The sequence below is a fragment of the Homo sapiens genome, chromosome 6 (assembly GCF_000001405.40).
Source record: "Homo sapiens chromosome 6, GRCh38.p14 Primary Assembly".
NCBI classification, from domain to species: domain Eukaryota; kingdom Metazoa; phylum Chordata; class Mammalia; order Primates; family Hominidae; genus Homo; species Homo sapiens.
This window is the reverse complement of record NC_000006.12, coordinates 152,401,876-152,413,903: the sequence shown is the minus strand read 5'-3', so window position 1 is coordinate 152,413,903 and position 12,028 is coordinate 152,401,876. Positions and strand designations below refer to the sequence as shown.

General features: G+C 37.9%; 1 protein-coding gene, 1 long non-coding RNA gene and 1 pseudogene across 50 annotated transcripts in view; 1 reads left to right on the top strand and 2 right to left on the bottom strand.

Moving 5' to 3' along the window:
• SYNE1 (spectrin repeat containing nuclear envelope protein 1) overlaps positions 1–12,028 on the top strand; it is a 515,676-nt gene that overhangs the window by 223,459 nt on the left and 280,189 nt on the right. For all 49 annotated transcript variants that reach the window (XM_047418508.1, XM_017010610.2, XM_017010609.2 and 46 more), the window contains 5 exons: positions 373–552; positions 4,195–4,345; positions 4,678–4,836; positions 6,708–6,890; positions 9,590–9,691. In XM_047418508.1, coding sequence (XP_047274464.1) covers positions 373–552; positions 4,195–4,345; positions 4,678–4,836; positions 6,708–6,890; positions 9,590–9,691 — 775 coding nt within the window. The remainder of the gene's footprint in view (positions 1–372; positions 553–4,194; positions 4,346–4,677; positions 4,837–6,707; positions 6,891–9,589; positions 9,692–12,028) is intronic.
• Positions 3,510–3,629, bottom strand: RNA5SP223 (RNA, 5S ribosomal pseudogene 223; annotated as a pseudogene).
• Positions 8,937–11,658, bottom strand: SYNE1-AS2 (SYNE1 antisense RNA 2). The gene is made up of 2 exons (XR_007059819.1): positions 11,237–11,658; positions 8,937–9,052 (listed from the first exon to the last, which is right to left on the bottom strand). It is a non-coding gene; the product is annotated as an SYNE1 antisense RNA 2 (long non-coding RNA).

Sequence of the window (12,028 nt, the reverse complement as noted above, 5' to 3'; positions counted from 1 at the left end):
TCATGGCCCAGAAACATTTCTTACCAAAGATTTTACAATAAGTATTTACCTAGTTAGCCTATGAGATCAGCCTTAGTTTTGAAAATCTTCTACCATCAAAGCAAAGTAGAAAGAAAATACAAACTTAATAGAAGGTTGATGGTGAGTAGTAAGAATGACTTTCAATGTTTTCTGAGGTACAGTCTGAGTTATTTTGCAAAATTAACTTTAAAAGTACTTTTTCCATTGATAAACATTAATTTAATTTCTGTGTTAAAAGTTTTTCTAGCTGTCTAAATGAGTGCTTTATGGACTCATCATATACTTACGGAGAAGAAATATTCATTTACTACCTTTAGTAAATTAATAGGAAAATAACATTTTAATTCACAGGTTAAGAGTGTTTAATCAGCTAGAAGATGAATTGAATTCTCACGAGCATGAACTATGTTGGTTGAAAGACAAAGCCAAGCAAATTGCCCAGAAAGATGTAGCTTTTGCACCTGAAGTTGACAGGGAGATAAACCGCTTAGAGGTCACCTGGGATGATACCAAAAGACTAATTCATGAAAAGTAAGTCAAAACCCACCCAGTTCTTGTTTTTAGCTTCCCACTTATTATGTGACATTGGGACATTGCCTGTTTTGTGTTGATGTGATCAGTAGTTAAATATCTTTTACCATTTTAGATATTCTGTGTCACTTTCATAACATTGAAAATTTACTTATTTCGACAGAACTTTATTGAGAAGGTTGCTTTGAGATAACAATTATAGGCCAGGCACGGTGGCTCATGCCTGTAATCCCAGCACTTTGGGAGGCCAAGGCAGGCGAATCACCTGAGGTCAGGAGTTCAAGACCATCCTGGCCAAATAGTGAAATCCCATCTCTACTAAAAATACAAAAATTTGCCGAGTGTGGTAGAGGGTGCCTGTAATGCCAGCTACTTGGGAGGCCGAGGCAGGAGAATCACTTGAACCCTGGAGGTGTAGGTTGCAGTGAGCCAAGATTGCGCCACAGCATTCCAGGCTGGAAGACAGAGCAAGACTCCTTCTCACCAAAAAAAAAAAAAAATTACATGTGAAATTGAATGCTTAAAGCAGGAGTTGTCAACAGTTATGAAGTACTACCATGACAGCCTTAACTTTTAATTTTCTACTTTTTTTTGTTTTGTTGTACTTGTTTGTAATTGAGGTATAATTTAAACACACTAAAATTTACTTTTTTTCATACGCAATGCTATCAGTTTTGACAAACTTATGCAGTTGTGTAACTATTAAATTTCACAGTGAAAGTTCTACCACCTAAAAAATGGCCTTATCTTTTCCCCTTGCCCTTAGGCCCCCTGCAACCAGGAAGCAGTTTTCCACATCTATAGTTTTGTCTTTTCTTAGAATCATTTATAAACAAAATCACATAGAATGTGACCTGGCTTCTTTTATCTAGCACAACATATGTCATTGTGTGCGTCAATAGCTGATTCATTTTTTTTTTTTTTTTTTGAGACGGAGTCTCGCTCTGTCGCCCAGGCTGGAGTGCGGTGGCGCTATCTCTGCTCGCTGCAAGCTCCACCTCCCAGGTTCACGCCATTCTCCTGCCTCAGCCTCCCGAGTAGCTGGGATAGCAGGTGCCCGCCACCACACCCAGCTAATTTTTTTTTGTATTTTTAGTAGAGATGGGGTTTCACCGTGTTAGCCAGGATGGTCTCGATCTCCTGACCTCATGATCCACCTGCCTCAGCCTCCCAAAGTGCTAGGATTACAGGTGTGAGCCACCGCACCCATCCAGTTCATTCATTTTTTATAGCTGGATATTCCACTGAATGGGTGTACTACAGTTTATTCATTTACTAGTTGATGGACAATTGGGTTCTTTCCAGTTTGGATGATTATAAATAAAGTATTTATAAACATTCACATTCAAGTTTTTGCATGTACGTAAGTTTTTATTTCATTTGGGTAAATAATCTAAAAGTGAGACTCTGGATTGTATAGCAAAATATATGTTTAACTTTATAAGAACCTGCCAAACTATTTTTCGAAGTAGTTGCACCATTTTGCACTCACACCAGTCTTGTGTAAGATTTCCAGTTGCTCCACATAATTTCTAACACTTGGTATTGTGACATTTTTGTTTATTTGCTTGGTTGACATTCTGCTAGATGTGTAGAGCCATCTCTGTGTGTGTGTGTGTGGGGGTGTGTGTGTGTGTGTGTGACTTTAAGTGCTCCTTGTGGAGCAGGACTAACTAACTCATAGGCACTGTGCTCAGAATTGGCACATTTTGTTTTTAATTTGTATATCCCTGATGACTGACGTTGAACATATTTTGTTAAGTTATTTGCAATCTGTATGTCTTTTTAAATATTCAAGTTGGCCGATTTGGGTGATTTTTTTTGTTATTGAGGTCTTTTTATACAATCCCAATCAAAACGCCCACAGACTTTTTGTAGAAATTGACAAGATGATTTTAAAATGTATACATAAAAGCACAAGACCTACTAGAATAGCCAGTACAGTTTTCAAAAAGAATTGGAGGACTTTGCTGGCAGCTCTGGTACCTAAAATAAATAAGTAAGTAAATAAATAAATAACAAATGAAAAAGGATTGGAGGACTTATACTAGCTAGTTTCAGTGTGGTACAGGCTGAAGGATAAACATATAAACGAGTGGAACACAGTCCAGAAATAGACCCAGACATATACAGTCAATTGTTTTGACAAAGATATAAAGAAAGTTCGGTGGAGAAAGAATAATATTTTCAATAAATGGTACTAGAACAATTGGACATTCATATGCATTTTAAAAAATGACCCTCAACATATATTTTACATCATGTACAAAGACCTATTAAACAAAATTCGGAGCACATTATATAATGTAGACTATTTCTGTAGGCATTTTAAATTGAATCATGTTGTGCAAACTTTATTCCATATTATTAAACATTATCCTACATTGTGATTTCTTAGAGGTTGCACAGTGTCCTATCATAAGAATATATCTGGATTTATTTAATTATTGACCTGTTTTTAACATTTTGGTTATTTCTATATTTTCTCCTATTACAAATAATGGTATGAAGAATATCACTTTACCTAAATCTTAGTGCACATAATTTTATTTCTTTGGAAAATCTCTAGATGTAAACTTGCTTGCTCAAAGGCATTTTATTCTTTTGTTGTTGTTTCTTTTATGAGATAGTCTCCCTCTATCGCCCAGGCTGGAGCACAGTGGTGTGATCTTGGCTCACTGCAACCTCTACCACCCGAGTTCAAGCCTTTCTCATGCCTTAGCCTCCTAAGTAGGATTACAGGCATGCGCCACCAAGCCAGGCTGATTTTTGCATTTTTAGTAGAGACAATATTTTGCCCTGTTGGCCAGGCTGGTCTCGAACTCCTGGCCTCAAGTGATCAGCCTGCCTTGAGCACTCGCAAAGTGCTAGGATTACAGGCATCATCCATGGCGCCCAGCTGTTTTTTGTTTGTGTGTGTGTGTGTGTGTTTGTTTGTTTGTTTAAAAAAAAAAAAAAGCCTACAGCTTCCAATATTCCCAGAGGGTCTCCCATCCAAGTACTAACCAGGCTGGACCCTGCTTACCTTCACAAGATCAAATGAGAGAAAGTGCATTCAGGCTGATAGGATTGCAGACTACCTTATTTTTATAAACAACAGCTATCTTCTCCTTTTGACAGTCTTCAGGGTAGTCATATCCAATGAGAATTTATTACATTGAGATGGAAGAGAAAATCTGATATATACTTTAATTATTGAGTAATCTTTTTATTTGTTAGTTTTGGGCTATGTTTTGTTTTATTGTTGTTTTCTTTCACACAACATATGCCATTATGAAATAATTAAAACAACATGGAAAAAGACAATTAAAAATATATATATTTGGATGACTCATCTATGTAAGTTTGAGTTGGCAAGAACATATATTGCTTCTTTGTCATTGAGTTCATAGATTTTGTTTCAATGGTCATTGAGTTCATAGATTTTGTTTCAGTGGTTGCGTGCATACCTCATTCACGGAGAATATTTTAGACATTGGAGTAAGTAGGATTAACCAGCAGCACTAGTTTGAGGACAGTATGTAGGAATCCGTCTATGAGTATTAATACCTTTACGTAGTGAAACATCAAGTCCAATTGCAGGCAACTCTCCCTTTTCCTGATACATGACACCAAATAATATATTTTCTTTAATCATTACAGTCAGGGTCAGTGCTGTGGACTTATTGACTTAATGAGAGAATATCAGAACCTGAAATCAGCTGTATCTAAAGTCTTAGAAAATGCCAGCAGTGTGATTGTAACCAGAACTACCATAAAAGATCAGGAGGATCTTAAATGGGCTTTTTCCAAGGTAAAATTCAAAATGTGTTTATGTTGGTATTCTGCTTTAGTAGATCTGGTTTTTACTCATAAAGCAGTTATCTGCACTATTCTTATCAGTATACTTAGATGTGGGTAATTCATGCTAATGAGCTCAACTTTTTTTCCCCTAGGAATGCTGACATTCTAGGATTCTAGCAATTCAAGAAAATGGTGTTATATATATTCATATAGTTAATTAATCTCACTATCACTAATTTCTGCATAAGGTCAATTATGAATTAAATTTCTTAGAGACAAATGGTTTTAAACTCATGACTTATCACTGACTATTTTATTAATTAAGAAATCATTTATCCACAGCATGAAACTGCCAAGAACAAAATGAATTACAAACAGAAAGACTTGGATAACTTTACCAGCAAAGGAAAACACTTGTTATCTGAGCTGAAGAAAATTCACAGTAGTGATTTCAGCTTGGTGAAAACAGACATGGAGAGCACCGTGGACAAATGGCTGGATGTAAGATAATCACCTGGGATTCTGTGAACTATTTAAATATTCACATTCCCCAATCAAATTTTTGGACAAAGCGTTATTCAAGGATGTGAATTTCACTTTTTTTTTTTTTTTTGGAGACAGAGTTTCACTCTTGTTGCCCAGGCTGGAGTGCAATGGCGCAATCTCAGCTCACCGCAACCTCTGCCTTCTGGCTTCAAGCGATTCTCCTGCCTCAGCCCCTGAGAGTAGCTGGGATTACAGGCATGCGCCACCATGCCCAGCTAATTTTGTGTTTTTAGTAGAGACGGGGTTTCTCCATGTTGGTCAGGCTGGTCTCGAACTCCTGATCTCAGGAGATCTGCCTGCCTTGGCCTCCCAAAGTGCTGGGATTACATTTGTGAGCCACCGCACCCAGCTGAATTTTACTTTTAACATTTAGTACTAAATGCAAAATGAGAGTCTGAGGAAAAACCGTGCTCACATAAAGTTTAGAAATAATAAAATATGTATCTGCTTTGTAAAAACTTATTCTCAGACTTTTGGGAATTTCACTTGATAGCCTCAGTCATAACAAGTTATAACTCTGAATGTTTTTCTTTCCCAAACTATGAAATTATAGATAAAAAAGAAGAATTTATGAACATTCTATAGAATATTACACCATAACATATAATAATTTTAAGTAATAAGGCTATAATTTTGCATTGGAAAACATTGCACTTGTAATTTACATCTTTGGGTTTTAGTTCTTGTTCTGTCACTTACTAGCTACGTGACCACAGAACAAGTCACTTGATTTTTCTGGAAATATAGATATCAAGCCATAAATATTTTACATTACCTTCCAGCTAAAAAATTCAGTGATTCTGTTGCCCTCCTTCTATCAAAATCTAGTTTCAGATGTACAGTGGTTCCCCTACTTAAGCTAAATTTACCAGTTAGACTTTGATATTTGTGTAATATAATAAAATAATTTGGGGACTGCAGAAAACCCTACATGCTTCCACTTTTAAAAGAACATTCTTTGGCTGGGCGTGGTGGCTCACACCTGTAATCGCAGCACTTTGGGAGACCGAGGTGGGCAGATCACTTCAGGTCAGGAGTTCGAGACCAGCCTGGCTAACATGGTGAAACCCCATCTCTACTAAAAATACAAAAAATTAGCCGGGCGTGGTGGCGAGCGCCTGTAATCCTAGCTACTGTGGAGGCTGAGGTGGGAGAATTGCTGGAACCCGGGAGGCGGAGGTTGCAGTGAGCTGAGATCGCACCACTGCGCTCTAGCCTGGGAAACAGAGTGAGATTCCGTCTCAAAAAAAAAAAAAAAAAGAACATTCTTTTATTTTTTTTAACATGCTATTTTTGTTTTATTTATAGCTTTTGGGATTTTAGTGCATATCATTATAGGAAGAGTGATAAGCAATACTATTTTATTTTAATGTGCAAAATTGGTTGCTTTCATATGCGTTATGTTATAAATATGTTTGAATCTAATTAATGCTAATTATACCTCAGCATTAGAAATAAAAATGCTTATTGTTAATGCTTTCAAAAATAAATACAACACTGTTCTTGATGGACCTTTGTCCTGTAGAATTCAACCTTATATTGAGTTATAGTAGATTCCAATGGACCTGTTGTTGTTAGTATCCCAATTTACAAATGAAAATGCAATGTCTCAGAAATTCAAACAACTCTCCCAATGACAGAAGCAATCTATGTATTGGTTAGCATTTACGTGAGTTGGGTGCACTTATTAGATTACAATAATTTTTGTGGAACTGTTTGTCCGTCAGAATATACTTTTCTGATAAAAGAAGCATTGGTACTTTGGTTGGGGGATGATCATCTTACGCCTCTGACTATGAATGCCATGGCTTCTGTTTCTCTCCTAGGTATCAGAGAAACTTGAAGAAAACATGGATAGGCTGAGAGTAAGCCTGTCCATTTGGGATGATGTACTGTCAACTAGAGATGAGATTGAGGGATGGTCAAACAACTGCGTTCCACAGATGGCAGAAAACATCAGCAACCTGGATAACCACCTCAGAGCTGAAGAACTGCTTAAAGAATTTGAGGTAAATTGACTGTGTTGACATATGGCAGCTGGTGGCATATTGTTGACCAGAATATGAAAAAAAAAAAAAGTCTTTCTTAAAAGTTTATTCTTCTTTTAACTTTTATTTTTTATTTTATTTTATTATTATATTATTATTATTTTAGGCAAAGTTTTGCTCTGTCACCCAGACTGGAGTACAGTGGTGCTCCAGATCTCGGCTCACTGCAACCTCCACCTCCTGGGTTCAAGCGATTCTCCTGCCTCAGCCTCCTGAGTAGCTGGGATTACAGGCATGCACCACCAGACCTGGCTAATTTTTGTATTTTTAGTAGAGATGGGATTTCACCATGTTGGTCAGGCTGGTCTTGAACTCTTGACCTCAGGTGATCTGCCCACCTCAGCCTCCTGAAGTGCTGTGATTACAGGTGTGAGCCACTGTTCCAGACCTTATTCTTCTTTTTAGAGACATAGAAGAGCATTAGAGAACTCTTAACTATCTTTTGCTATTTAATTTGAACAGGTTATGAATAAAAGGGTTTTTTTTTTTTTGCATTTTTATCTATGCTTATTTAGGGCTCTTTAAATCATTAGTAGAAAAGTAAAAGTTAATTGTTCCCATTCTTCGGGGGATATGGCATCCTTCTACTTCAAAACCAAATTGGAAGTGTTTGTAATTTAGTAATGTTTAGTATCTATTTTTCCTTATTCAAAAAAATCCCAAACTGCTCACTGAGTCCTTACCATGTGCTCTTATTATGCCAGGTAGTGGGGTTCTTCCACTTCCTTTTCAAAAATGGAAGAAAATTGGAGATTGGAGGGTCACAGGCTTCCACAAAGAGTCCCTGACCTTTTAAAGTTCTAGTCACCAATTCACTTTAAACCTTTTTATTCCTATTTCTTGCAATCATTTGTTAATCATTCTTCAAATTTTTAATGAGCACCTAAGATATGTCAGGCACTGTTTTAGACATTGAAAATATAATGGAAAAACAGAAAGTCCTACCCTCGTGGGATTTGCATTATTTATATTACAATATATATTATATATAAAATATCAAGTAGTAATTGGGCTATGATAAAAGTGGAGTAGGGTAAAGAGAAATAGAGTAAGGAGATAGTGACTTTGGTCCAGAAAAATATACATGAATGAATTGCATTACCTAACTTATTTGTCTCTGATCCAAAGAACATTCTAAATGTTTTATTATCTAATTCCAATCTCTGAGGGCAATCAGAAGGAGAAAAAATTATCCAGACTAAAAGTACAGGCAGGGGTGATGGATACCGCAGTGTCCTCAGCTGTTATCTCTGGTGCTAAACTAACATTACAGCTCCAAAGTGACCTGTGCTGGATCCAGCTTATACCAGCTTGCAAAAGTCAATTGTTAAATGTTCAGGAATTTTGGGAGCCACTGTTAAAAACAACCATTATTAAAACTTAAATTGTAACTAAATTTACAAAATAAGTTCCATTGAATTCAAAGGTAATGACAACTAAAAACATATCACTTTTCATTATTCTTCTACATATCACTACTGTTACGTAGGCCTTTGAGTTATTGACATCTATTGTATCATGGTTGAAATAATTTAGAACAATGTACTGCTGTGTATGTCTTCAACTCCATGTTCTGTGACGTCATGTTGTAGCTTACCATGGTGGTAAATGCTACAAATCAGGGCTCTTTGTAGGAGGTTGAGAGGGAGTTGTTAAAGTAATCAACTACTATTGACCTCAGAAATCCAATGATTCAATATGCTTCCGAGCCACATTAGATATGACCAGGTTCAGTTACTCACAGAGATGGGTTCTTTATGTTACCCACTGTCTGTGTGACACACTAGCTAATAAAATCAGTGAATCAGATTCAGCCCAGTGCCCACAGGGCCATTCCCGCTGCAGTATAGTGAGTGTAGGTAAGTAGCAAGATTCCTCAGTTGCTCGGCCAGCTTCTGGAGAAAGCCAGAGGCCCTGACAGCTCATCACGTCTTCCAGTAAGGAAATTCCTTTCTGAATTGAAGGCATCAGGAGGTTTGCTAGTGTCCACAAAGCACCAAAATACCATTTTTGAGAGGAATAGTTTATTAAATGCCCCTTTGTGGTTTCATATAACTAATGAAGTTTACAAGCATCTCATTTGTTTCATAATTCTTTGATCTTCTTTCCTCTTCTTTATGTTACTGTTGGTGCAAAAAAAGGCAAAATATTATGTATCAATATCGTAATGAATCTGTTTCTGCTTTAATATCCTTTAAATTTTTATTTGAAACGATTCATTCATATTACACATAGTCTATAATAACTAGGCACTCCTGATGTGTACTTGCTTTGAAATGCTTCTTCAAGAGTTTCATGCTGCCATAGTAACCAGTAATATTAAAGTTAATGAATAAATGACAGTTAGCCTATTGAAAATCCCCACTGACTCAAGACTTTGGGTCAGTGTTTAATTTTTTTCCAGGAGGTTTTTTTTTCCTAATACAAAGGAGTGGAGAAAAACAAAGTTCTGCACACTCCTTCACATTCCCAGTGAACATTAATTGTAACATTTTCCACGTTTGTACATCATAACAGCCCTCAGAAAAATGAAACAGATTTTTTTTTACACTGGCTTAAAGTTGGGGTATTTCGACAAAGTTAGCTCTTCTTGAAATTATTAAATGCCAAATATAGCATGTCAGTGTTTTTGATTAGTTATGTTTCTTCCCTTTTGGCAGTCTGAAGTTAAAAACAAAGCATTGAGATTGGAAGAACTGCATTCCAAAGTTAATGATCTGAAAGAATTAACTAAAAATCTAGAAACACCGCCAGACCTTCAGGTAAGCATTTTGTAATAACTACTAGACTTCCATCCATTTTGTAATTACTACCATATACTAGACTTTCTCTGTCTCTGTGTGTGTGTGTGTGTGTGTATATATATATATCTCATATATCTATATCTCGTATATATCTATATCTGATACATATATCTCATATACATCTATATATGTATCTCATATATATATATCATATATATGTATATCTCCTTTATATGTCCTCGATGTTATCATCATCACCATAATTCCAAGGAAACATGTGGATTGTATCAGACATGGGAGTCAAAATATTAATATATTTCCACATTCCTTCAGCCAGTATTAATAGCATATTTCCAACTCGAATATTATAATAAGGGTAGTTCTTTTTTTGCCTACTGAATTTCGGAAGCATTTCAGCCAAGTTGCCTCATGGACCATTTCATGTCTAGACAGGAACAGAACCCCCTCTTTTTTTGGTGTTTTTGATGTTGGTTGTTTGTTTGTTTATTGAGACAGGGTCTCACTCTGTCACCCAGGGTGGAGTGCAGTGGTGCAATCTCGGCTTACTGCAACCTCTGCCTCCCAAGCTCAAGCAATTCTCCCACCTCAGCCTCCCTGGTAGCTGAGACTACAGGCACGTGCCACCATGGCAGGCTAATTTTTTAAATTTTTTGTAGACAGGAGGTTTTGCCATGTTGCCAAGGCTGGTCTTGTACTCCTGAGCTCATGCAATCTGCCTGCCTCAGCCTCCCAAAGTGCTGGGATTACAGGTGTGAGCCACTGCGCCCAGCCTAGAAACCCTTCTTATGAATGTTGATGTTCTTATTGATATTTTCCTAATGCTGTTACTGAATAACTGGGTTTAGAGGGATCACCACTATAAACCTCCCTTCACGGCCCTTCAGATGGCACAAATCCACGGGAACCATGAAGCAGGCCAGGGTAGATCAGCACTGGTCAGAACACCTGGGCTACTTCAGTGCCCAAGCCCTGGAAGCATCCAGCATGGTGGGTCTCTTTTGGCTGGCAGCCCCACTGGCTCCAGGCTCAGGTTTCTGCTGCATCCCTTTAGCTTCCATATGTGTTGCTGCTTCTGTTGATTTTCTCTACATTTCCTTTCTTCTTCTTGTGCTTTCTCTTTGATTTGCTACTTTGGGCTAAGCAATCAATCTAGTTGATCAGTTATGCTTTTGCTCTGACCTGAGACTGCTTGTTCAGCAGTACCATTAGGGATGATATACATGCACAGGAATGCTAGAAGTTTCGTGTGAAGTAAGAAGACACAAAGGAGGTGCTATCCATATGCAAAAAAGATAAAGAGTCCTTATGCATGCCGCCTGTGTTGGGGATATCAATGGTTAACAGTTGGACTTTTACAGAGTTGAGCAGGATCTTCAGAGAGTTATTGGTGTACTCTAGTCTTCTCTTTCTTCCTTTCTCTCTCTCTCTCTCTCTGTTTCTCTCTCTCTCTGTCTTTCTCTCTCTCACACACACACACACGTGTGCACATACATGCACCCCTATGTATACTCAAGGAAGAGGTGAGGGGGTGGCTTACCTTACCTCAAGGCAGAAGGGTTCCGGCAGTGCCACCTGAAGAACAGGATATTTGTCCCCTGCATTTGGCAGGCATGGGAGTCTGATCTCTATCCCCCAAAGAATCCTAAAAGTGACAGACAGGCTGGCTAACTGCTGCTATATTTGCCAAAGGATAAATGATGGCTTGTGGGGTCCTGCACCTCAAAGTTAGTTGGAGGTAAATGCCAGAGGTCACTCTGGCCCAAATATGAACCAGGAGAGGAAAAGAAAGGAAGAGACCACCATATGAGGATATTATAGGTGGCCTAAGAAGGCTATCTGGAGGATAAACAGACCTTAGCAATGAGAAGTTAAAGAAAGGCCTCCAGGCTGAGGAATGAGAAAGTAAAGAGCCAAAGAACAGCGCACTGTCGTGTCTAGGGAACTTCACTGGGAAGTCCAAGCATGAAAAAAGTCAGAAAAACACAAGACCAAGGCCTATGGGAGGAGGAATGAATGCTAAACCTTGCCTGGCCTAGAGGGCACAGATGCCCATCCAGTGAGTCAGAATGCCTCACCCGCCTCCTGCCAGTCTGAGCCTATGGGAGAAAGAAGCCTTACACAGGGTGGCAGAATAGAAATAAAATGAAGGAAGAGAAAGAAAGATATTTACTCCCTTCCACACTGTTGGTCTCCTGCTCCCAGCAGATCTGAGGTGGGGGTAAGAATAGAAGCCTTCAATTTAAGTTAAGTTCAAAGTTTTCATTACCAAATAGGCCAGGATGTTTGAATTGTGGAATTGAGATTGTTTTTCAATGTATAGTGACTATATGTCCT